A 27,338-nucleotide genomic window follows, 5' to 3' on the forward strand; every position below is an offset into this window, starting at 1 on the left:
CCATTTCTACCCCTGTGTGGGTGTGTGATTGGATTATACCTTCTCATCCCCTGGAGGCTGAGTGTGGACGTATGTTTTACATTGGCCAATAAAAGGTGAATGGAAGTGGCTTCTCTGTGTGGAAGCTTCAAGAACCTGTGCCTGATTTGCCACACTCATTTCTCCCTGACAATCATCACTGTAATCTCGGGAGCACACTTCGAGTTGAAGCCTCTGTCAGCCTGGAGCCCGGAGGGATTATGGTCAGCGAAGGCATCAGCCAACATTCGTACACGTGAACCGGGACAAGAAATAAACCTTTATGTCTTTTAGGGCTTTTTGTTACTGCAACAAAGATTAGATGACTCTAACTGATCGAGCTGATCTGTCCCCTTCCTACTGCCTCCCCTGGACTTTCTCAAGATCTTCCATCTCTGCCCCTCAAACTGCTATCCTTCTTACAGCTTCAGCTTTTACCTCCACACACTAGAGTTCAGCTGCGTGTCCTGCCTCAGACTCCCATTTCTAATATCCATTTGGATACCACTATATTTTCAAAATGTACAGAATGGAACCCCTCCCAGAGTTAATTCTTTGTGCAACTTCTCTCTCTTTTTACAATGTCACTATCAATTTTCCAGCCCCTGAATTCTGAATCTGAGAGATCTTTGACTCACTCTCTGCCTTCACTACCCCACCCCCCAATCAATTACCAAATCCTCTTTTATATTATTTTTGAGGTCTCTTGAATTTGTTCTTAGCGCTACCAGTGCTCTTACCTCCCAGGCTCCTTACAGCTAAGGAAAAGGCACAGGCCTCAATCCACTGTATTTGTTTATTACAGGGCATTCCACAACCAGATACTACAGACTGGCTGGCTTATACAACAGGAATCTATTTTCTCACAGTTCTGGAGGCTGAAAGTCCAAGATCAGTGTGCCAGCAGAGCTGATTTCTCTGAGGCCTCTCTGCTTGGCTTGCAACGGCCACCTTCCTGCTGTGTCTTCACATGGCCTTTTCTCTGTGCACACTCACCCCTTATATCTCTTCCTCTTCTTAGGACACCAGTCATATTGGATTAGGGCCCCACCCTTATGGCCCTATTTAACTTTAATTATCTCTTTAAAGGCCCTATGTCCAAATACAGTTCACATTGGTGGTTAAGGCTTCAACATGTGAATTTTGGGAGGACAAAATTCAGTCCATAACATGGTACCAATCAGCCATGCTGGGGCCAGGTTTAGACTCAGGAGCTGGTGAGGAAAGGATACCATACCAGCAACAATGGCAGAGGCCAACGTCACATTGCTCCTGAGTTTGGAAGTCACAACGTGGTTGGCAGCAGTGGAGACTGGTGTAAATTTGCATTCCAGGCTCAAAAGTTACTCAGAAGTGATGCATAAATGGCAGTGCAAGCTGACATGCCTGGTGGTAGTAGTTGTGATGATCTTATCAGACCAGTTCTGCAAGGAAGTGGGCACTATTTCTAGAAGTTTGGCTTTAAGGGTATTCTCCAGGCTTCTTAACAATTTTATTTGGCCCTATATCATGTGATGTTTATGATACATGAGAAAAATAATATGGTTCTTGTAGCTTATTTGGTATTAATAATTAGTTATTCAATATGACTCATGTCATGAATATGCCTATAGCACATTTTTAAATAAATGTATTTTTATATCTGTTGAAATCATAGCAGTTCAGATACTTTCGAGAACAAGAAAATACGTTTGTGAGTGGGGTCATCTAAATGTTAGAAATGACTTGAGCAAGTTGTAGAACCTGGGTCTCCCATATCCTTTAAACAAACTCCCTTTCTACCTAATCATTTAGAGTTGAGTTTGCTTAAAATGAAAAAGACTGATGACTAAATTATGGCAACAGGGTCCCAACCTGGTGCCTATACTGCAATTTATCTTAAAAACCATTGTCAAGCACATATTCCTTAATCATGTCCATCTCTTTCCACAAATTCTGAAGGAAACTTGGATTTTTTTTTTTTTAAGGCAAAGTTTCACTCTTGTTGCCCAGGCTGGAGTGCAATGGTGCTGTCTTGGCTCACTGCAACCTCCACCTTCAGGGTTCAAGCGATTCTCCTGCCACAGCCTCCCAAGTAGCTGGGATTACAGGCGTGTGCCAGTATGCCCGGCTAATTTTTGTATTTTTAGTAGAGACGGGGTTTCGCCATGTTAGCCAGGCTGGTCTCGAACTCCTGACCTCAGGTGATCTGCCCACCTCGGCCTCCCAAAGTGCTGTGATTTACAGACATGAGCAACCGCACCTGGCCTTGGATATTATTCTTTCAGCTTTATGACCCCTCAGTTGCAAGTGTCAGAATACCGATTCAAAATAGCCTAAGCAAAAAAAGATTACTTATTAAGCAGACATAGCTATGAAGTCCAAAGGAATAGATAAAACTCCAGCCTTTCAGGTGTGGCTGTATTCAGGGGCTCAGATTATGTCCTTAGGGCTGTGTCTGTCTTCATCTCCTAACTCCCTTCGTGTGTCAGCAAAGAGAGACTCTGGCTACTTGAACTTTGAAGGAGAAAGATGGAGGTATATCCCTCTCAACCTCTCTCTCTCTCCAACAAAACTCTGCATTCTGATTGGTCCTGGGCGAATTTTGTGTTATTCACTGGAACAGTGTCCACAAGGATGAGATTCTAATGAGCTGGGCTGGACTATGTAACAGGTGCCAAGGTAGGAGAAGTGGGCACGGTCCCACGAGGTCAAGGACAGCCAATTTCCCAAAGGAAAAAAAAGTCTCAACAGAATAATTTCCAAAACATACCAGCTTTGGGCACCAGTATATGCTCCACCCCTTGAAATCACACTGGCTAGTTCCCTGTTCTGCCAGTGGGAGGTGGGCTCTGGTGTTTGGACAGGAAAGATGACCCTGGCCTTTCCCAGGAAGAGGCTGCTCTGTGTCTGAGGGAGGCAAGCTTCCTCTGGAGGGATTGTGAGGCTTGTCCTACTGGACCCAAGGCCTGTGTGCTGTAGCTCTGCTTTCCCCTCTAGGTCACTGCTTTTGAAGCTGGATGAGTTCACTTTTCACTAGTGCTGGGAGCATCACCAACCCTTGTTGTCTCTCATGGCCCTGCAGGAAGCCCTATGTGGTCTTTTGACAGCTCACTCCCTGCATCCAGGGAGAATCGAGCCCATTGTTTCAGGGGGTTTCCTTTAGGCTAATCTGAGGAGTGTGAAAGAACCCATTTAGAGAGGCCTGATGAATAAGGACAAAATAAAGATCAAACTCAGGCAAAATCAAAAGCTATTTGTTAACAGGCAAGATGTTCTTCAAAGTCTTTATCAGGAGCAAGGAAGACTTGCAGCACTATGTGGAGAAAGTAGGGTCTGGTGGGTGGGGGGCATTCATTTGAAGTTCCAAACAGATGACTCCTGGCCCAGCCGCTGGGCTCAGCATTATCAGTAAGTCTCTTGGGTTAAGTGGGCAGTGCTGGTGGATAAGGGTCTGGGAAAAATAATAAGTCATCCAGTAGCAGGTAATGTTTATTGGAGAAACTCTCCAAGCCCTCCTGTCCTTGCACTCACCCTCAGGAAGGAACCCCATGCTGCAAATTAGAGAAACTTTCCTAATCCAGGGTTCCTGGTGTAGGAAATCGAGCTATCCTGGTGTCATGTAAACCATGCAATTACTTTTCAGATGATAAACAAATACACGGAGGCATCAGCTTCCTTAAACCAACACTAGAATGAGAGCATGATGGTGCTTCCAGAGTTGGTCTCCTGAATGTCGGCTTAAATGCCTACCATACGCCAGGTAGGCATTGTGCCCACATGATCTCATTTGATTCTCAACACACCCTAGACTCTTATTTTCTCCACTTTACAGATGTAGGAACTGAGAGAAGTGCATGCAGTTCACTTAAGTTTTCACAGCTAATACATAGAAGAAGTGGGAGTTGAACCCCTGTGATTTGCTCTATCCAAAGCCTGTGTTCCTAATCACTTACCATACTGCCATTCTCACTAGACCCAACAGGGACATCATCTCCTTTTTCCTTGGAAAATGGAATGGAGGTAGTCTCATGCCAAACATTGGTCCTAGATGGAAAGACTGAGGCACACAGAGATTAAAGTGATCCACCTGGGACTATCACCGTTCACGAAATTGACCATAAAGAATGGATTTTGCTTTCTTACTGTAAAACACAACAAGCTATGTGTCAAACACCAACAGATGTAAGGATGTTGGGGTGGTGGTGGCCGAAAGAGTCACCCAGAAGCCAGAGTTACTCAGGCCCATCAAGTTAATGCATGTAATGATTACTATCAGGATACAGGTGTGTCTTAATATCATTCCTTAAAAGAATGACAACTACTGCTGGGAGCGGTGGCTCACACCTGTAATTCTAGCACTTTGGGAGGCCGAAGCGGGCAGATCACGAGATCAGGAGTTCAAGACCAGCCTGGCCAACATGACAAAACCCTGTCTCTACTAAAAATACAAAAATTATCCGGGCGTGGTGGCACATGTCTACAATCCCAGCTACTGGGAGGCTGAGGCATGAGGATTGCTTGAACCTGGGAGGTGGAGGTTGCAGTGAGCCGAGATTGTGTCATTGCACTCCAGGCTGGGCAACAAGAGCAAGACTCCATCTCAAAAAAAAAAAAAAAAAAGAATGACAACTACAAACTGTGTTGCACAAAACAGTAGCTATAATCCTTGTTACATGTAGCTATTTAAATTTAAATTTGAATTAATTGAAATGAAATGAAATTTAAACTTCAGGTTCTCAGTGCTACCAGCCCCCTTCCGAGTGTCCAATAGCAGATACAGAGCATTCGCATCATTACAGAAGGTGCTATTGGATGGCGCTGCTACAAAACCTCCCTTGACCACACTCCATGTTAGTGACAGCCCCATTTCTGTTGTTGTTCACAGCAAAACTCTTTGAAAGAGTCGGCTGTACTTGTTATCTCCACTTACTCACCTCCTTTTCTCTCCTCAGCCCACTCCATTCAGGCTTTCCACATACATCACTTGTCTGAACTCTCTTTGTTCAAAGTCGTTAATGATCTTCATTTTGCCAAAGCCCAAAGTTAAATGTCCTGATCTAGTTCACCCTTTCAGCTGTGTTGGATGCTGTTGGTCACATCCTCCTTCTTCAAACACTTTCTTCCCTGAGCTTCCCAAAGACCCCAGTGTCTTGGTTCTCCTCCTCCCTAGATGAGACACATGGCAGTCTCCTTTATTGTCTTCTGCCTATAAGGCCTATCAATTCTGGGTTCTCCAGGGCTTCATCCTCAGACCGTCTTCCTCAGGTATCCATGTTCTCTCCATGGGTGAACCCAACAGCCAGAAGGTGGAAAGCACAGCACTCAGCTCCCAGGCTTACAGGCCTCCCATTGCTTCTCACGGTAACCCGAGTAAAACCCACTGTGGCCCCCAAGGGCCTGCCTGAGTTCGCCTCTGCCTACCTCTCCCTTGCCTCTGTCTCTGCTTGTTTTCCTCTGTTCTTTGGACAGGCCATTTGTTTCTGCTGAGTCTTTGGATTAGAACACTTCCCCCAGATTTTTCAATGGCTGTTCCTTGTCGTCATTTGGATCTTTTTTTTTTTGAGATGGAGTCTCACTCTGTCACTGGACTGGAGTGCAGTGGCACGATCTCAGCTCACTGCAACCTCCGCCTCCCAGGTTCAAGTGATTCTCCTGCCTCAGCCTCCCAAGTAGCTGGGACTACAGGAATGTGCCACCATGCCCAGCTAATTTTTGTATTTTTAGTAGAGATGGGGTTTCACCATGTTGGCCAGAATGGTCTCAATCTCTTGACCTCATGATCCACCCGCCTTGGCCTCCTAAAGTGCTGGGATTACAGGTGTGAGCAACTGTGCCCAGCTGTCATTTAGGTCTTAACTCAAACATTACCTTCTCAGAAAAGTCATGCTTGACCACTCTAGATACAGCCGCTCTCCCCATTATGGCAAATATATCTTGTCTAATTTTATTTAGTTATAGCATTGGTCACTAATTGAACTTACCTTATTTACATTTTGTGGTCGGTTTTCTAACATTAGCATAAAAGCCCTTTGGGGCAGAGCCTCTGTCTCTCTTGCTCACCATTCTGTCCTCAATACCTATCACAAGGTTTGGCACCTAGTAGGTGCTCAATTAAACCTTCCTGATCTAAGATATTTGCGGACTGATAATCTGGCCAGGAGTCAAGGTGGGGATATGACTGTAGCTGACTCCCTTGAGAGTCAGTCAGAGACAGACGAGGACCCAAGTTATTGGGAAGAGGAGGACTGTACAGTTAGAAACAGAGAGCTTCATTGAATGTGCTTTTTGCCCTTGGCCAGATGAGCATGGCCCGTGTTTTAAACTAATTTCTCTGGTATTTTGTGACTCTACTTATATCTTAAGAATGTCAATTCCTCTTAATCTTTTTTTATTTCTTCTTAAATATGTTAACCCAATGTCAGTGTGACTTTTTCCAAACCATTCTTGGGCCTTAGTTTCCCCATCCATAAAGTGATTTGGTTTTTGGTAGATAATTCTTAAACTTCCTCTCAGTATTATATTCCTAATCGCCTGTCATTAAAAAAAAAAAAATTCAGACTATATTCTTTCAGGAAAGCAATTTAACAATAATGTGTAAAAGACTCAAAATAATTTCACTTGTAGAACTTTATCCTACAGAAATAGTCAGAAATTTGAACAGAGATTCATCCACAACTATGTTAGTCTTAGATTTATAAATGATAAGTCAGAAACAACAGTAAGAAAGGCTGAATAAATTAGGATACTTACACATGTTTGAATATTATAATGTTGGAATGTATTTGAATATTGAAATACAAATTCCCAGTATCATTGGAAATGAGGATTTAAAAAAAAAATGATGAGGAAAGATGTTTAGAGTCCAATGTTAAATCATTTATAATCTCAGTCTATAGAACATATATTCATGGGAGAAAAGCTGGAGGAAATATCTCAAAATGTAGCTTGTAATTATCTCTGCATCATGAGATTTGCCTCTTTACATTTTTAAAATATTTGTCATTGTTTTCTAAGTAATCTTCAGTAAATATAGAATACTTCTTGCAGCCAGTGACTTGGCTGAAACAGATTCCAGTACTATGAGTTTAGAGTCAGAAGTCTCGGGTTTAGTTCAATTTATTCAACAAATATTTATTGAACACCTTGTATGAGTCAGACACTGTGCCATGAGCTGGGGATCACAGGATAATGCAGGGTCTGGCCTAAGAGACCGACTGAAGGCTGAAAATCTGCCATGGGGGTGCTTGCAGCACGGTAGGGGAGCGCAGGAAGTGGAAGGGGGTGTCTGGGGAGAGAAATTCACAGGACACAGGGTTTCAGAGACAGCATCCTGAGGGTACACCAGATCCCACTTACTTGCTTGTGATCTTGGATCAGACATTTAACCTCTCAGCTCCCCATCTGTAAAATAAAAACACCACTGGTTGCCTCTACTAAAGCAGATGGTGATTGTTGAGAAAATCACATATTGAGAAGGCATATAGAAGGCTGTTGGGCTGTTGGCACCTGAGAAATGCTATCAGAGGCCTATGGACTTAACCTACAGATGGCAGGAAGGGGTTGTGGAGGGGCCTTGATTTAACGATTAGCAGAGCAGCGAGGCCTGGAGCCAGTTAGATGACAATCCTCTTGTGTCTTCAGTGTGACTGCCACTTCTCCCTTCTCTTAGCTATTCTGAGGTGTGTTATGGCTCAAGGGAAGGGCAAAAAAGCTGATGCTGGAATAAAATGGGGCTCTGTGGGAGATTCTCAGCTTCCACATTGCAGTGTCCCCTCCTACCCTCTTCCTGCTTCAGCTCTGAGAGTGACCTGAAATTGTCACGTTTGATCACCCAGAGGAAACTGTGCTCCCACTGAGGACTTGCTATGTTAAAATGAGCAAGCCCCTGTACTGTCTGGAGTTAGACTGGGGCACTTGTGGGGCTGGTAGTGTTGATGTTCAGTTTGCAGCTGTCCCTGGTAGATTCTTGTGTCAGTGGCATCCCTCACTGGTTGCAGATCCTGGGTCACTACACATTTCAGAACTAAGGGGAAAGGCTGCAGCTTCTCCTTGAGTGGCTGGATTTGAAACCTGGTTAGATCTGTGCGCTCAGAAAGGCATGGAAACCAGAGATGGAGCCGGCTGGTTTCCTAAAAACAGGCAGATCGGGTGCTTCTCCTGACCATTCTTTCAGGGTGGCTCTGGCTCTCTTCTAGGGTTCCTATAGAGAATATTTGGTTCATTCTCACTCACTTTCTCTTCCCCTCTGTTCTTTCCTCCTCTCTTCCATCTCTTTCATTTATTCATTTTCAACAAATATGTACTGAGACCTGTTGTGCATCTGGCACTGTGGGGAAAAAACAAAGTGAAATTGTGTCCATAATTGGTGGGCGCTTGGTCTCACTGACTTCAAGAATAAAGCCACTGACCCTCGCGGTGAGTGTTACACTTCTTAAAGGCAGTGTGTCCAGGGTTTGTTCCTTCTGATGTTCGGATGTGTTTGAAGTTTCTTCCTTGTGGTGGGTTCGTGATCTCCCGGCTTTAGAAGTGAAGCTACACACCTTCCCGGTGAGTATTACAGCTCTTAAGGCGGTGCGTCTGGAGTTGTTCGTTCTTCCCAGTGGGTTCGTGGTCTCGCTGGCCGCAAGAGAGAAGCTGCAAACTCTCGTGGTGTTACAGCTCATAAAGGCAGCACGGACCCAAAGAGCAAAATAACAAAGCTCCCAGAGATTAGAAGGAGACCCCAGCGGGTTATCACTGAGGGCGCGGGGCAGTCTGCTTTTATTCTCTTATCTGGCCCCACCCACATCCTGCTGATTGGTCCATTTTATAGAGAGCCGATTGGTCTGTTTTACAGAGAGCTGATTGGCCCGTTTTGACAGGGTGCTGATTGGTGCATTTATAATCCCTGAGCTAGACACAAAAGTTCTTCACATCCCCACTAGATTAGCTAGATACAGAGTGCTGATTGGTGCATTCACAAACCCTGAGCTAGACACAGGGTGCTGATTGGTGTGTTTACAAACCTTGAGCTAGATACAGAGTGCTGATTGCTGTATTTACAATCCCTTGGCTAGACATAAAGGTTCTCCAAGTCCCCGCCAGACTCAGGAGCCCAGCTGGCTTCACCCAGTGGATCCCCCACGGGGGACTGTAGGTGGAGCTGCCTGCCAGTCCTGCGCCGTGCGCCCACACTCCTCAGCCCTTGGGAGGTCGATGGGACTGGGCACCCGTGGAGCAGGGGGCGGTGCTCGTCGGGGAGGCTCCGCCCCGCAGGAGCCCACGCGGCCGGGAGGCTCAGGCACGGTGGGCGGCAGGTCCCAAGCCCTGCCTCGCTGGAAGGCAGCTAAGGCCCCGCGAGAAGTCTAGCACAGCAGCTGCTGGCCCAGGTGCTAAGCCCCTCACTTCCCGGGCCGGCAGGGCCGGCTGGCCGCTCGGGGTGCGGAGCCCGCCGAGCTCACGCCCACCTGGAACTCGCGCTGGCGCGCAAGCGCCGCGCACAACCCCTGCTCCCGCCCGCGCCTCTCCCTCCACACCTCCCCGCAGGCTGAGGGAGCCGGCTCCGGCCTCGGCCAGCCCAGGAAGGGGCTCCCACAGTGCAGCGGCGGGCTAAAGGTCTCCTACAGCGCCGCCAAAATGTGAGCCCAGGCAGAGGAGGCGCCGAGAGTGAGCAAGGGCTGCCAGGGCTGTCAGCATGCTGTCACCTCTCAAAATGGTACCAGAAATTTGAGATGCATACTATGGAACTTCTGGAGAGTGATGACTGCCAGGGAAAATGGCCAGCTTAGGCTTCGTGAGGATCTTTCAGGTAAGGCTTCATGGAAAAGGGTTCTGTTCAGCTCAGTTTTTTTTTTTTTTTTTTTTTTTTTTTTATGAGACGGAGTCTCACTCTGTTGCCCAGGCTGAAGTACAGTGGCGCCATCTCAGTTCACTGCAACCTTGGTCTCCCACGTTCAAGGCATTCTCCTGTCTCAGCCACCTGAATAGCTGGGATTACAGGCACGCGCCACCACATCCAGCTAGTTTTTTTTTTTTTTGAGACAGAGTCTCGCTCTGTCGCCCAGGCTGGAGTGCAGTGGCGCGATCTCGGATTGCTGAAAGCTCCGCCTCCCGGGTTCACGCCATTCTCCTGCCTCAGCCTCCCGAGTAGCTGGGACTACAGGCACTCGCCACCACACCCGGCTGTTTTTTTTTTTTTTTTTTTTTTTTGTATTTTTAGTAGAGACTGGGTTTCACCGTGTTCGCCAGGATGGTCTCGATCTCCTGACCTCGCAATCCACCCGCCTCGGCCTCCCAAAGTGTTGGGATTACAGGCGTGAGCCTCAGCTCAGTTTTATAGTAGAGTTAGAATCTGGCTATGCAGAAAGAAAGTCCATTCCAGGTGGAGGGAACAGCACAAACAAGGGTGTGGAGGTGGGGACCATGGGATGTGTTTCGAGTAGGGTGCAAGGGGAGGAGCCAGGACAGACAACAGCCTGCCTACCTTCGTTTCTTCTGTTTCTCTCACGGGATGGATAAAACCTTACTCAGCCATGGGAATTCCATTTCCTCACACAAAACCTTCCTTTCCTCCAGTTTTGAAGGAGTAATATCTGTATAGTGAAGCTCTTCCAAAGCTTTTAACCTGCTGGGTGGAGAATTTTGGCATAAAAGAATGACAAAGGCAACACTAACTCCTTCAGTTCAGAGAGGATCTTTCCTTCTAAGTTACAGAAAGCATTAACATCATCGTTAGCAACATCTAGCCTTTTTTTTTTTAGAGCCTGCTCTTTCTGTGTGACACTCATAAAACCATTTTCTAATGGCAGTCCCAGACCTTAAGAAGCTCCATTGTACACACCTGCAGGCCAACAGGTGCCTTGAGAACAGGGCCTGGTATTCTTATAAGTCTTCTGTGGTGCATCATGACAGTTGACCGATAGCACCAATGAGGACAGATGTGTAGGGACATTTGTTCTGCATAATCTGGGAATAAGAAAAAAGTGGTAACAACCCATTTTCCAGGAAGACAAATTGAGACAAAGCACATGAAAAGCTTCACTCAGGGTTTCTGCCAGAATTTGGCAAGTTTCTCTTCCAAGTTTTGGCCCATGGCAAGCTCTGCATGGCCTTGGCAGGGTGGGGGTCTGTCATGTCTACCACATGGCTGCTCTCCTGCAGTGCTGGAGGATGAGGCCATTTGGAGACAATCACCTTCTGTCTCTGGGCTCTGACATCTGGGAGGTGGACGACCAACAGGCCTTGGCCGGGCCTCCTGGCCCTTCGGCGTGCCGCATGTTTGTTGGAAGCCGTTTTTCCGGAGAAAGCCACAGCAGTGAAGGTCACCTTCTGGACAAATAATTCCGGTCCAGGGGTACCAGATGCAATTGGGAATCTGAGGCAATGAACAAATGCACAAATGACTTTGTCTTCAAAGAAAATAGGATTCGACAGAACTGTGGCTGTCCCTTGCTCAATAGGATTGGCACACTGCAGAGAAGCCACTGAGGGTGGCTTGGTTAGAATCCAATTTTAGTAATTAGTTCTATTCACAATAAGGCGTGTTAATAGGTCCCATGTTGAGCAGGCAGAATCCCCTGTCTCAGGTGCCAAGTGCCAATTAATGAAATCAACATTTATGTCCCACAGGTAAACAACTGTTCTGCATTCATTCTCTTGGAGCTGCAGGCAGGCATTTCCCCCAGTAGGTGCTCTGTCAGATAATAGACCGTAAGCTTCAAGAAGACAGGGGTCATGTCTGTTTTGCTCACCACTATATTCTCAGTGCCTGCCTTACCTTTAGACACCTATTTAGATTGCAAAAGCCCCAAGAATTCTTTCCCTCCGTCTGTGCTCCCCCTTTGCAATACGACTTTCAGCTCCTGCCCCTGTGATTTGCTTTGGCCATACTATATGGCAGAAGCTACACAGCATCAGTTCTGGGCCTAGATTTCAAGAGGCCTTGAACACTTCTGCTCTCCTACTTGGACCTCGTGGAGGCTCCATGGGAACAAGCTTGGGTTGGTTTGATGAAGGGTGGGAGACACAAGGGCCTAGTGACCCTCATTGTCCTAACTGACAGTCAGCCAATCTGCAAAAGAGTAGCTGCTTAGATGACCAGTAGCTGACCACAGATGCATCAGTGTAGCTGAATCCAGAAGAACTGTCCAGCTGGGCCCAACCCAAAAGGCCATTCAAAGAATTACAAAGAAAAGAAATTATTGTTGTAAGCCACTAAGTTTGGGGTAGTTTGTTGTGCTATTATTTAAGCCACTAAGTTTGGGATGGGCGTAGTGGCTTATGCCTGTAGTCCCAGCACTTTGGGAGACTGAGGCATGAGGATTACTTAAGGCCAGGAGTTCAAGACCAGCCTGGACAACATAGCCAGACTCTGTCTCTACTAAAAAAATTAGCGGGGTGTGGTGGCACATGCCTGTAGTCCCAGCTACTTGGGAGGCTGAAGTGAGAGAATCACTTGAGCCCAGGAGATTGAGGCTGCAGTGAGCTATGATTGTACCACTGCACTCCAGCCTGAGTGACAGAGCAAGACCCTGTCTCTAAAAACAAAACCAAAAACAAAACAAACCCAAAAAAACCAGTTAAGCACTGAATATGTATTTGCTGAAAGATGGATGAATTATTGATTACATATCATCCAACTGTAAACAGCTTGCCCAGTCACTGTCATTTATAGTATTGTTCTATGTTTTTCCTAACACAGAAATTGTCTTTTTTGGCTTCTTGGTGTATTTCCTATCTCTCTTTTCAGTATGTAAGTTTTATGAGGATAGGAGGAGATCTTGCCTGTCTGACTCACCTTTAAATTCCTACAGGCTAGAATGGTTCTTGCCACATAGTGGGGTCTCAAAAAAATATTTCTTGAATGAAACAGTGAATGGATTTCATTAATTTTACTTACAGTGAGACTAGCTAAGCAAAGAGCTTGAGAAGAAGCTATCACATATATTGATTGGCTAAGGTGCCCTTTGCTGTTTGTATACTTTCCTTAATTCCTTTCATTATAAATTAGCACTTACTGAAGCCTGGCATGTGAAAATAAAGGACTTTACATTTGTGGAGATATTGTTATATTTCCTGTCTTCTACCTCAATTCTTAGTCTCCTCTTTCCCCCACTCCAATGCCTTTTCATCATGTGCAGTTATGCAAGGGAAACCTTTGGTTTGCTTGGATTTTCTGCATCAAAAACACCACCACCACCACCACCAACGTCAGTATCATCATCAACAACAACAGCAACAGCAAAGCTTTATTTCTAAGATTTCCTTTCTCTTCCTTCCCCTGCTCTTACCTCAGATATTTATCTTGGCTTCTCAGTATTTACCTTTAATGTTTCCTTTATTTATTCATGTTTGCTTCTTAATCTTAGATCCAAATGGGCAGAAAAATTACACAGAAAATGATGGAGGCAAGATTTGCACTTGAAAATCAGAATTCTATTTATTCACTCGTTAATAATAAAAGTGAAAAATACTCTTTTCTAATCAGATGTACACCTAATGAAATCTTTCTCTTATTTCTCACCAGCCATCATTAGTGAGCTAATCTCTAGGTTTTGTAAGGAACAATATACAAAATCAATGTTTTCTTAACACAGCTTCATTTAAAAAAAAAGTACAGCATGAGAAATGAGTGTATTTGGACTCAGGTTGGAGTTTTGTCATAAAATGGCCAAACACAGGATAGGTTTCCTTTTGCCTTTATGGTCAGGGACCACAGCATCTAAACATCAGTTGGAATCAAGAGATGGACCTTGATTTTCCCAGAAGGCTTTTGTATTATTCATATCTGTTGCTCTTCACGTCTAAGGCTGAGAAAAAAAATTAAGTCAGAGGGATGAATGACTTTCTAGCACAGACATTTCAGACAGTTTTGGTGTTGTAACAGAGTGCTGTAGTCATTTTTACTTTAGGAGGAAGATGAGGAGGTAGAGAGAACCTTCCCTTTCACTCCTCAGATTACCCCTCCTGGACAACTGCCGACCTGGCTTCTCCTCCAGCCTGGCTCTGACCATGAGCCCCACATGTCATATGTGACATGAAATATGTGGATGGCAGGGTGCCCATTTCTCAAAAAACCTCATATGGAGGGCTTCAGCTGGGTCCGTTAAATCCCTCAGTTTTTAAAAGACTATGTGTGCTGGCTCTGTTGGAAATTTATGACTTGCTAGGATCTTTCTTTTCTCTTCTTTCCGCATGGGACTTGTGCATCAAGTTTGTCTTCCTTGGTTTTGTCTTTAGCGTTGTGTTTCAAATCAGCCCATGAGGGCACTGATTTCAGTGGGTGAGTGAAAAGAAAGGAATCCAGCTCAAGGCCACCTGCACCTCTTCCTGTCACTGACATCGTCAAAAGGGATTTATTAAGCACTGTCTTGTGCCTGATCTCCTCTGGAGTCTAATTTTATTGTTGAGAACTCTCAGACCTTAATGGGTATCCAAGTGTTTTGGATTCATTTGCAGATGAGGCTTAACAGCGTTTCAAATATTTGAAGACCATGTTCCACATATACTTCTCATGCTTTTATTCAATTACTACCTGTTATTATAGGTTTATAAATTGAGTGCATTAGACTTGCACTTGCTGAGCCAATTTTTATAAAGATCTCATCCAGAGAGTCGATACAGGGAGCGTTTTGAAGTGAACTCTTTTCCTCTGGACTGTACCCCCAGCCATTTGTCCATGTCACGTTTGTCCATGTCACGTTTGTCCATGTCAGTGCCCTGACCCTTGTCTGCAGGTAGCCAGGATATCGGATCCTGGAAAACCCAAGGACAGGGATCAAAACGTGGATGACAGGAAGCTCAGCAGGAGGATATTAACACTAATTAGAATACTTTTTCCTGAACACAGATAATGATGGCTTTCTTTGTTCAGCATCCTGGTAAATCCCCTCACTACAGATTTCCATACTCTGAACCAAATCTGAGCATCTGGAGGGAACTGCTGTTATGGCTGAATTAGCCATTCCAATTAGAGAAAGGAGGGAGTCGCCTCTGTGTCTCCATTTCCCAATCATCTGCAATAACTGGATTTCAGGGGGGTTATACAAGCATTCCTGCAAGGAAGAAGCATTAACTATGACATGACCTATTCAACATATGCAGAAGTTATGTGCTGAGGAAAGGTAGGGATATGCAGAATTATTTTGAATTGACACTTAATTTCTGCCCCCCTACTCACTGCACTAGCTCTGTGCTAAATTAATGCCACTTATATCTTGCTTTTAAATAAAAATTTATGGATGACAGCTGAGGTCCTTCTTAGGGTGTTTATGATTTGGGATTAAGATCCTTAAGTGCTGGGGCAACTCATTAGCTTGTGCACACTACCCACTTTTATGTAGTCAGGAAAGGAAAGGAAAGGAAAGAAGGAAGAAGTATGTAGTGGGGGACGGGAAAGAACAAAGGGAAAATAGGCCACCATTTTCAGATAATAATAACATAATTATTACGATTATGAAATTATTATTATTATTATTTTGCTGGAGCAATTAAAGGGCTTCCTTTAAGAGTTAGAAGATCAAATGCTACCCTAAGTATAAAAGAATAGGCATCTTGGCCAAAATTTAAATTCACTTTGAAGTAGAGTTTTAGACACAATTTAAATTCTAAACCTTGTATTTGTAAAAAATTTTAAGAAAACAATGAAACCTACAAGAAACATTCTACCATGCAAAACCCATTCCTGCAAGTTGGACTTGGGCTTATTGGGCAGGGATAGGCAGATATGAAGGCCAGTGTGTAACCTTGAGCCCTAACCAAAACCCACATCCCAAATGCTTCCGTGGCAGACAGACTCCTTTCCACGTCCACTGATGAAGAGGTGGCAAAGCAGATGGGTCTCCAGTTGCCCTTTCCTGAGCAGACTCCCTGCCATGACTGTCCCCTGCTGGGGCAACCCCTAGGAGACTCTGTCATGGAGAGTCATGTAGCCGTGGGGCATAAGGTGTTCTCAGAATGCAGTTCCTTGTACTAGGACTTGAACTGTCTTACCCCTCACCTTTCGGCAAAAGTGCAAAGGGAGGCTATAGCCCACTCTTTTCTTTCTGCTTCCAGCTCCATTCCACATTTCAGGGGGGTTCTTCTTCCTTAGACCTGGGGACACTCCAGCTGGCACATTCAAGTTCCATTTTTCTCCCCATCCCAAATAGCTGTGCCTTGGCTGTCGTTGGGCCTAAGAATGTGCATCTGAACTATGAGATGTCAACAGAAGGGATGCAGACCACTTTCAGATTGTGGCCCTAAAATTGTCCTTTCCCTCCTGGCTGGGACACAGTTGTAAGGGCTGAATGTGCATCCATGTGATATGTACTGCCCTCAGGAAGGTGACCCAGGGAAGAGGCCTCTGAGGCCCAGACCATGGGTTTAGGGCTGTTAGGGCATGGATTCATGAGGTCCTGGGTACTGAGAGCACAGTCTAGAGTACCTGAGGCACAGGTTCTGTGTGAGCATTTTCTTGTGATCTCACAGACTCCTCACCAGTGAGGCTACTCTGCAGAGCAGAGGGTCCCAAAAGTCCAGATGTAAGGGGGTTTGAGAGTTTGCACTCTGTTAGCCCCGTATTTCCTGTGAACTGCACAGCTGGGTCAGTGTAAGCTGGTATCTTACAGTTGTTAAACAGCTTCTTAAAGTGTTCATAAGGATTATCATGAAAGGAGATTTCTTGATCCTTCCTTGGTACCTTTCTAGAGTTTAATAAGTTCTCTTTCCTCTCTGTGTTGCACACAAGAGCAATGGTTCTTCCACAGTGCTGAAAACAAATACTGAGAGGATTAAAACCTGATTAAGACCATCCCTGGTTCATAGCAAACATTTGCTTATAAGTCATCATATGGCTTATAAGATGATTGATCTATCTCAATAGGATTCATAAAGGGGCATTTAAATTACAGAAGAGCTGAATGACTCCAAAGAGTTAAATATTTTTATTTACTCAATAAGGTTTACACTAAATTTAGCATACTTTTCAGCATATGAGTTGAGGGGTTGTGGTGAGGCAGGTAAAAGTCAGTTCATGCAGGTGAAATTGTTTTTATTAACTAAGTCAAGATGGGGCTTTATTTTATTTCTGTGCATATAATTTAGGGTTCCATGGGAAAGTGGCACATAGCTAGATACCTGGAAGGGGGAAATCAATGCAGACTCCAGCTTTGGTATATATAGAGATTCCAAGGGCAGGACTTCACCTTGTTCATAATCAGAGTCTGACATGTAGCAGGTGCCTAATGGGGAACTATAGAAGGAACTGAAGCAAAGGGATGTTGAGTGAAAAGTGAAGTTAGTGGAGCACAGTGTTTCAGTGGCACTCATTGATGAGGATGGTGATTGAATATTAACTTGCAGTCTGTTTTAAATACAGAGAAAACATTTTCTTGTTTCTTTGACTTTAGACTTTTCATGGATATGTTGGAGATTTGAATCACATAATCTCAAAGGTCCATCTACACCTAAAATGCTAAGCATCTATTCCCAATTATTGTATCTAGAAAGTATTCTGTTTGCACCTTAGCTGGTAAATACTGGGTACCCTTTAACTTGGGTACCTGGCTAACTCTATTAGCTTATTGGGAACATGGAATATATGTCATGTGGTCTCCACCCTTAGGAGTTAGAGAGTAAGAATAATACATAAAATGCAGCGAGAAAGCAATTTAGCATTCAACTCTGGGCTGTAAGGGTCAAAGATGACTTCATGAGTGAGGAGCTTTGAAGAATGGAGAAAACTTGGGTAACTAGATAATGGGGAGAAATATCAATTCAGGTTGAAGGAAGAGTCTGATGAAAGATGGGAACCAGTTGATATGTTTAGGGACTGAGAATGTGGATATGTTTTTAGAATGGGAAGTAGAGAGAAAAATGTTTGCATAGACAGGCTAAAAACAGATTCCAAAGACTTTGATGGAGCTGGGCACAGTGGCTCACCCCTGTAATTCCAGCTACTTGGGAGGCTCAGGTGGGAGGATCACTTGAGCCAGGAGGTCGAGGCTGCAGTGAGCTATGATGGCACCACTGCACTCCAGGCTGGGCAACAGAGTGACAGTCTGTTTATTTAATTTAATTTAATTTATTATTATTTTTTGAGACAAAGTCTCTCTCTGTCTCCCAGGCTGGAGTGCACTGGTACAATCTCGGCTCACTGCAACCTGTGCCACCTGGGTTCAAGCGGTTCTCCTGCCTCAGCCTCCGGAGTAGCTGGGACTGCGGATGTGCAGCACCACGCCTGGCTAATTTTTGTATTTTTAGTAGAGATGGGGTTTCACCATATTGGCTAGGCTGGTCTTGAACTCCTGACCTCGTGATCTGCCTACCTCGGCCTCCCAAAGTGCTGGGATTACAGACATGAGCCACTGAGTTTGGTCGAGTCTGTGTCTTTCTCTCTCTCTTTTTTTTTTTTCAAAAGACTTTGATGTAAAGTAGAAAAAGACAGGCAATGGAGACACATTATCAGTGTCTGATCCTTGTCTTAGTGTCTCAGCATATTATAATATTGTATACAATGAGCCATCCTTCTGGAAATGCTGTCTGCTCTTGGCTTCCATAGACCCTACATTTTTGGATTTTCTTGAGCTTCACTGTCTTCTCAGTCCCCTTTGCAAGTTCATCCTCCTCCACTCAGCCTCTAAGAGTTAGAAGCACTCAGGGTTCAGTCCTTGGCCCTGTTCTCTATCTACTGTACTTGATTTAATCTCGATCCCTTTAAATGTCATCTGCATGGTGATAACTCTCAAACAACTATCTCTGGCCTCATCCTACCCCTGGAGCTCCTTAGACTCACATTTTCATCTGCCTACTTCACATCTTCACTAAGATATCCCCAGGAACCTCCCACTCACATGTTTATTATTCCCACTTACATAATGACCCCACTCTAGTTAGGCTGAGGCTGCCGGTTGCCCACCAACATCCTTTCTACGTTTCTTCCTTTAGTAAAAGGACTCCTCAATTTTAGTTTGGTGTATAGCTGCTCAACCAGAGGCTTCACTTCATGCCTCCATTTCAGTTAGGTGTGATCTTGTGGCTAGGCTCTGAACGATGAGATGTCAACAGAAGGGATGCAGGCCACTTTCAGATTGTGGCCCTAAAATTGTCCTTTCCCTCCTGGCTGGGACACAGTTGTAAGGGCTGAAGCCTAACACAGCTAACTTAGATCTAAAGACAGAAACCTTGCACTTATGATGCCAGAGCTGCCTTCCCAGCCCTGGACTCTCTACCTGTGGCTGATTATGTGAGAGAGAAATGTTTCCATCTTCTTTGAGCCACTATGCTTTGGGACCGTTCTGAACAGGAGCTTAGGCTATGCCCCTAACTATCATACCCAGTCTTCCCCACCTCATAAATTTCATCTCCATCCACCTAATTTCTCAAGCCAGAAAGCAGTGAATACCCACCCTATTCTTCTTCAGATCCAGTGTATCAGCATGTCCTACTAGTATTACCTAAAAAGTATAATTGAGATCCATCCACAATCCAAATTTGTGTGCAGCTACTACATTACCTCCTAACTGGTCACCTCATTTTATTTTTGTCCCCATATGACCCTTCAACTAAGTGCAGCCAAAGACAACTTTAAAACTTAAATGCATCATGTTGTGTTCCTGTTGGAAACCTCTCAATGCCTTCTCATTTCATTAAGACAAAGTCCCAAGTGTCCTGAACTTGATCCTCTATGATCTGGCCTTTGCTTTCTTCCCCAGCCTTACTGTGTGTCACTTTCCCCTTGCTCACCAGGCCTCAGCCACAATGGCCTTCTTTCCATTTTAGTTCCTCAAACGGGCCAGGCCCTTTCCCACCCCAGGCCTCTGCTCACGTGCTGTTTCTGCGTCTCCATGTCTATTCCCTCATGCTTTGTCAGTTCAGCTCCTATTTCTCTTTCAGGCATCAGCCTAACTCCCTCTTCCTCAGGTCTCCAATTGTGTTTCATAACAACCTATTCTTTTCATTTATAATACACCGCAATTTATAATTCAATGTTAAATGGAGGCTCTGTTTATGTGTTTGTGTGTGTGTGTGTGTGTGTGTGTGTTTTGTTGTTGTTGTTTTTTTTTGTTTTTGTTTTTTTGTTTTTTAGGCAGGGGTCTTACTCTGTCTCCCAGGCTGGAATGCAGTGGTGCAATCATGGCTCATTGCTGCCTTGACCTCCTGGACTCAAGCAATTCTCCCACCTCAGCCTCCTGAGTAGCTGGGACTACAGGCATGAGCCACCATGCCCAGATAATTTTTTCAGAGATGGGGTCTCATTATGTTACCAGGCTGGTCTTGGACCCAGGATCTCAAGCAGTCCTCCTGCCTCAACCTCCCAAAGTGTTGAGATTACAGGCATGAGCCACTGAGCCCGGCCTGTGTTCGTTTAATACCTGTCTTCCCTCCTAGACTGGAAGCTGTTAGGAAAGTGGGGCCATGTTGCTGTTGTTCACCTTCATACACCCAGCTTCAATAGGGTGCCTACCACATAGTAGTTGCTCAATAAAACTAGTACTTCCTGAAATGAAATAAGTCGTAGAAGAACAAGATGAGAGCAGAGGTTAAGAAAAATAAATCTGGGAGAAATGTGTAGAATGGATTTTAGTTGGATGGATAAATTTCCTACGACTGCCATAGAAAATTCCCATAAACTAGAGACCTTAAAACAACAGAAATTTATTCTCCCACAGTTCTGGGAGTCACAAGTCTGAAATAGAAGTGTCAGCAGGGCCGTGCTCCCTCTGAGGTCTCTAGGGGGATTCTTCCTTACCTCTTTTAGCTCCTGGTGCTTGTTGGCAATCCCTGGGGTTCCATGGCCGTGGCAGCATGACTCCCATCTCTGCCTGCTGTCACATGGTGTTCCCCTATGTGTCCCTTCTTTCTCTGGGTCTCCTCTTCTTAAAAGGATACCTGTCATATTGGATTTATGACCTGCATTACTCAGGTATGACCTCATCTTAACTAATTACATTTTCAAAGACCCTATTTCTAAATAAGTTCAGGCTAAGGTTCTGGGTGGACACGGGTTTTTGGGGAGACACTATTCCACGTAGAGTACTTGGGGTATAAGGAAACCAATTTGCAATCTTGCAGGCTGGAGGTGAAAAAGACCTGAACTGTGTTGTAGTGAGAATTTAGAGGAAAGGATGAAACCAAGTGACATTTAAGAAATTAAAGACCATAGAATGTTAGGGCTGGAAGAGATCCTAGAGGCTTCCATGTCTAGTGATTCTCAGGTTAGGCTTCTTATGTCCTTCAGATGGGGTGCCTCAGAGGTGGCCAGGAAGTAGAGGGCACAGGAGAGATTTTCCGGGTCTGCTACTCCTTGTTTAATTAGAACAATTATTATTTTATATTTTCCATGTTAGGTATCCACATAAGATACTGTTTGAAGATCAGTTGTGCTACATATCTCTTATTTCACCATTTAGGAAATTGTAGCCAATTAAAGAGTAAGACAGTGGTTCAGAAAAAATTGCCTAGTATGGACTACTGGTTTTAAGAATTTGGGGAGAAGGTGGCCAGAGTAGTATAGGAAACTTTCATAAAAGGGACAAGGTTTAAACCCAGTGGCTGCACTTGTGAAATACAGTGAGTAAACAAGGTTCAATTGTCTTTGTTCCTGTAAGCTACAGTTCTTCTGGATGGAGATGTGGGTGTGGCCCGGTCCCTATAGCAGGGGTGCAGGATGAGGTGGAAGGTGACGGGGACCTGCCAGCAAGTTCTTCCTGCCAGGGTCACTCAGCAACACGCTGAACACAGGGATGAAGGAGAAGGAAGTGCCTCAGGTGACATCCAGATCCCACAAGTAAAATATGAGGAGACAAGATGGTGTGGTGGGTGGGAGAAAGTGGTTTGGACCCAGATTTGGTTTATGGGGACCCCTTTTGTTTTGGACATTGGGTTTGAGGTGACATTGGAACAGTAAAACTTTGGTAAGTAAACTTGGATGAATTAAGTCATTTTATGTGTCTGTTTTGTAACCTCCATGACCTTTTAATTTCAATGACAGGGTAGTATCTCCCAGGCCATGGTGTCCTCCCCAGAGTGCCCATTTTGGAACATGCATTGTGGAAGTTAAGGAAACATCAGTCTGTGATGGGGACTGTCATCTCCACCTGAATCACACACTGTCTTACTCGGTGGCCTTTCCAGATCCACTCAGGGCCCTTCTAATTTTTGGTTTATACTACAGTCAAAGTTATCATTTCAAAACACCAAAACACAAACAGATTGTGTTAGCCACCCCTGCTTAAAACACTTCCCATTGCTCTTAGAGCAAGGATCAAAGTCCTTGAGGTACATTAGCAGATTCAGGCTAGAGGTGACTGTGTCTTGATTCTCTGGCCTTCCCTGGCACCACTTCTCCTCTGATCTTAGAGATCTGGCCACAGAGTCTCAGTTTCGCTGACTTCTTCCTGCCCCAGGGCCTTTGCACATGTCCTTCATGCTGTCATTTCCTGCACCCCTTACCCTCTCCAAACACGCACTCATTCCTCAGATGCCAGCACAGTTAACATTTCCTTGACCCCTGGCCCACCCCAGTCTAAATCAGTTCAGATCAGTTTCTCTTTTCTTTCAGAGCCCTATGCTCAGTTTATAAATGTGTGTTTATTCCCCAGGTTATTTAACATTTATTTCTCCTCTTCTAAGTTTCATATGAGCAGGGGCTATGTATGTTTTGCTGTGTTAAGCACCTAGCATAGCACTTGAAATGTAGTAACGGAATGAATGAATGAGTAAAAGCTCAAACTCCCAATATTTGACTTCTTTAGTTTCCAAACCCTAAAGTTGCATTGAAAAGCACAATTTTATTTTTTGGGCAAACACTACTTTTGCCTATAGAGACATATCACACTTTAACAAAAATGTACACTATAAATTTTATTTCTGCTATATAAATATTTGGCAAGTTAAAGTTATATCAGGTGTTAAAAATACATTTCTTTAGAGACCTTGATTTTGGCTGTTAAAGCACTTGCTGGGAGATGTTCCTATGTTTTAAGTGTAAAGGAATAGATTGTACTGACTTGGAAAAAAATCTCTAGAAAACCAGGTCCTTATATCACCTTTTGGAGGCTGTGACCATTGAGGAGGTGCTGCTCAGATCTCCCATTAAGAAAGAACTTTCCATGGGCCCAATTAGTCAACAATCTCTAGCTGGGAGCACCTCTTTCTGGCAGAGGCATCTGTACTTGCTCTTCCCAAGCAGCCCCCAGCCAATGATGGAACATGGTTGAAATCCCAGGGCCATTTCTGCCCAACACAGGACTTCTCTAACAGGTACCCTTTCCTTGGGAGCTCTCAGTTGGGTTGGCCAAGACTTTGTTGGATCTTCAATGTGGTCTGAGGCTTTCTCTTCCCAATCCTGCTTTCTCCCCAAGATCACAGTCTGAAGCCTTTCTCTTCCTAGTCTGCTTTCTTTCCCTTTCCATCTTCATACCCGATACCCTCTCATAAACCTCTTGTACTCCTAACTCTGTCTCAGCATCTGCTTCCCAAAAGATACAATGGATGCAGAGGGCTTCCAGCAATATACTCATGTGACATTAAAATGTTAGAAATTTAATTATTTTGTTTTATTGTCAATTTTCCTTTCCCAGTTCATTCCCTATGAAGATTTAGTTTATAGGCCAATTTATAAGGCCTATTTCTGAAATAAAGAATAATTCTAGAAAAAGAGTAATTCCTTTGTGACTAGCCTATAAGCTCATGGGGCCTGACACTGTGTTTGTTACTGTCCTATCCCAACACTTGACACATAGTTGATGCTCAATAAATATTTGTTGAATGAATGAATGAATGTATATCTTAACAACAAGGTTTGTTTGTTTTTTTTTTCCTGCTTATATTGAACAGAAGAGGCAAGAACAAGACATACTACAACAGCATTTTAGATGGAGGCTGTATTAGTTTGCTCAGGCTGCCATAACGAAATACCACAGACGGGGGGGTTTAAACAACAGAAGTTCATTGTATCATAGTTTTAGAGCATAGAAGTCCAAGATCAAGGTGTCAGCAGAGTTGATTTCTTCTGAGGCCATTCTCCTTGGCTTATAGATGGCCATGTTCCCCTCATGTCTTCACATGGTCTCCCTCTGTGTGTGTCTGTGCCCTAATTTTCTCTTGTTATAAGAACACCAGGCCGGGCACGGTGGCTCATGCCTGTAATCCCAGCACTTTGGGAGGCTGAGGAAGGCGGATCGTGAGGTCAGGAGACCGAGACCATCCTGGCTAACATGGTGAAACCCCGTCTCTACTAAAAATACAAAAAAATTAGCTGGGCATGGTGGCGGGCGCCGGTAGTCCCAGCTACTTGGGAGGCTGAGGCAGGAGAATGGTGTGAACCCAGGAGGCGGAGCTTGCAGTGAGCCGAGATCTCGCCACTGCACTCCAGCCTGGGCGACAGAGCGAGACTCCGTCTCAAAAAAAAAAAAAAAAAAAAAAAAAAGAACACCAGTTATGTCAGATTAGGGCTCATTCCAGTGATTTCATTTCACGTTACTTATCTCTTTAAAAACACTATTTCCTAATACAGTCACATTCTGAGGTACTGGGGGGTTAGGGCTTCAACAAATGAATTTTACAGGGCGGACATGGTGGGGGCCAAGTCAGCCCATAACAGAACTGCCAGTAAACAACTCTTTTGTGTAAAGATTTTTTTCTGAGATGCGGTCTTGCTGTGTTGCCCAGGCTGGTCTCAAACTCCTGGGCTCAAGCAGTCCTCTTGCCTCAGCCTCTTGAGTAGCTGGGACTACAGGCATGCACCACTGTGCCCAGCTTAAAGTGTTTTAACTTGTGTTGGATGCTAATGGAAATAGAAATAAAATACAATAAAACAAAAAATAAAAATTACATGAAATAAAGCAAATAATTAATATCCTTCCTTTAATGTTTAATTTATAGCCAAAGAGTTATATAAGTGTATCTATAAGTATAATGAAGTATAAGACCAAAATCTCTTGATAATTCCAGGTAGACTTGTGATGCTTGACCAGGTAAGTCATACATTGTAACAAAGACACAAATTTCAACTCATAAAAGACCATACACTTGAAACTATGAATAGAAAGGTCTTTACCATGTGGATTTAAAATCTCAATCAAAATAGGTAATACCTTTATCATTAAAACATATACTTTTTAGAAGAATTTATAGTCACATTTGGACAATTTGTTTTTGAGGATAATAATACAAATTGTTAACTTTTTACTTATTAATATATTAATTTTATTTATTTATTTATTTGAACTGGAGTCTCTGTCACCCAGGCTTGAGTGCAGTGGTGCAGTGGTGCAGTCAGCTCACTGTAACCTGTGCCTCCCGGGTTCCAGCAATTCTCCTGCCTCAGCCTCCCAAGTAGCTGGGATGGCAGGTGCATGCAAGCATGCCTGGTAATTTTTGTATTTTTAGTAGACACAGGGTTTCGCCATGTTGGCCAGGCTGGTCTCGAACTCCTGACCTCAGGTGATCCACCCACCTCGGCCTCTCGAAGTATTGGGATTACAGGCGTGAGCCACTGCACCTGGCCAATATATTAATTTCATTTTAACTATAGGCAAAATGTTAGCTTTTCCTTTCTAGTCCCTGTTTTCGATCTGATTCCTGAGCCTATCTCAAGTAATAAAAGTAACAGACTTGCAGAATCCTCTCCACAAAGTGAGCATTGGTCTTTTTCGCTGGCTTTTCCCACCTTGGAACCTTGCATATGTGACATGCTGCAAACCACCATTGTTGTGTGCGGCTATATTCTGAGGACTTATTCGAATGAAGGAAGTTCTTCCCCAACATGACATTTCCTTTCTAATACAATACAAAAATGGAATATTTAGGGTTGACCACTTACACATTGTTCCCATTTCAGGCCCCCACACTATTGCCGTCATGTGTGAATGCCTAACCCTTTCAGAGATTTCCGTTAGGGCTTTCTAGTATATTTACTTTCCTGTGGATTTTGAAAGACTTGACCTCTCTGGGAGAAGTGCTTTGAGAAACCCCAGATCTGTATTGCTTCTACTAAAGCCTTAACGGGCTGGTCTTGTGAAGATGGTGCCATGAGTATGTATTGATTTGAAATATGCTCACTTGCCATAAGTTCAGTCTGGCCTGTGGCTGCTCACACACAGCCCTGAATTGCATTCTCCTATACTTTGGGAATTCTCTAGAATGCTTCCTTGAGATCATGACCTTCAGTTCAGAAATGCTAGACTGCATCAAAGGCACTACTGGGAATATAATATAGTTAGGATTTCTGCTACTAGTAAACCCTACTATAGTCATGTATTGTTCAGTGACCAGGACGTGTTCTGGAAAATGTGTGGTGAGGCGATTTCGTCATTGTGCAAACATCACAGAGTGTGCTTACACAAAGCCAGATGGTGCAGCCTACTACACACCTAGGCTGTACAGCCTATTGCTCCTGGGGTATAAAGCTTACAGTGTGGTACTGTACTGAATACCATAGGCAACTGTAGCACAAGGGTATTTTTGTATCTTAACCCATATAAACATAGAAAAGGTACAGTAAATGCATGGTATTATAATTTTATGGGACCACTATCATATATGCGGCCTGTCTTTGATCAAAACATTGTTATGCAGTACATGGACTCTACTATATTCTAAGTACCTTGAGGGTGATATGTATGTCTGATTTTTTCTTTAGATATCCTACAAATGCCTATTTCAGTTCAACTCAACATTTATCTAGTGCCTAGTTGGGTCCTGAGTTGATTAAAAGAGGAAAAGGAAGAGACGAGGGTTCTTTCTTGGAGTACTTATAGCCTAGGAAGGAGCATGGGGATTGTAGACTTCTTTCCTCCCTTCCCTACACCTTTTAAAACAACTCAATCAGTTCACGCCTGTAATCCCAGCACTTTGGGAGCCCAAGGCGGGTGGATCATTTGAAGGTCAGGAGTTCAAGATCAGCCTGACCAACATGGTGAAACCCCATCTCTACTAAAAAAAAAAAAAAAAAAAAAAATAGCTGGGCATGGTGGTGCATGCCTGTAATCCCAGCTACTTGGGAAGCTGAGGCATGATAATTGCTTGAACCCAGGAGGCAGAGGTTGCAGTGAGCTGAGATGGTGCCACTGCCCTCCAGCCTGGGCAACAGAGCGAGACTCTGTCTCAAAAAACAAACAAACAACAACAAACCCAAGCCAATTATCTTTTCACTATTCATTATAGTAAGTTTGGAAAATAGGGAGAAATCAAAAGAAAAAAATATTTTACAATTGCCCCAAAGCTTATTACTTAACTACTGCTGACAACATTTTATCTTTTTAAAAAAATACGCAGACTATTGAACCTCTTTCATTTTACACATCGTAAACATTTTCTAACAAACTTTCCTCCCTTCTGTATACCTTTTAAAACAAGCCAATCGGCCGTGCATGGTG

The 27,338-nt window shown here is 44.0% G+C and overlaps 2 annotated features.

Annotated features, from left to right (window-relative positions):
- Window positions 9,990-10,191: a silencer, noted in NCBI's record as "fragment chr2:136846458-136846659 (GRCh37/hg19 assembly coordinates)". NCBI's record gives its function as "represses an EF-1alpha promoter that drives an FKBP-Casp9 reporter gene in an ReSE screen in K562 erythroleukemia cells {active_cell/tissue: K562}" and the evidence as "EXISTENCE:reporter gene assay evidence [ECO:0000049][PMID:32094911]".
- Window positions 14,240-15,099: an enhancer, noted in NCBI's record as "NANOG hESC enhancer chr2:136850708-136851567 (GRCh37/hg19 assembly coordinates)". NCBI's record gives its function as "activates a minimal SCP1, AML or CMV promoter by ChIP-STARR-seq in primed H9 embryonic stem cells {active_cell/tissue: H9 hESC(primed)}" and the evidence as "EXISTENCE:reporter gene assay evidence [ECO:0000049][PMID:30033119]".

Source organism: Homo sapiens, chromosome 2, assembly GCF_000001405.40.
Source record: "Homo sapiens chromosome 2, GRCh38.p14 Primary Assembly".
In the NCBI taxonomy this organism is placed as follows: Eukaryota; Metazoa; Chordata; class Mammalia; order Primates; family Hominidae; genus Homo; species Homo sapiens.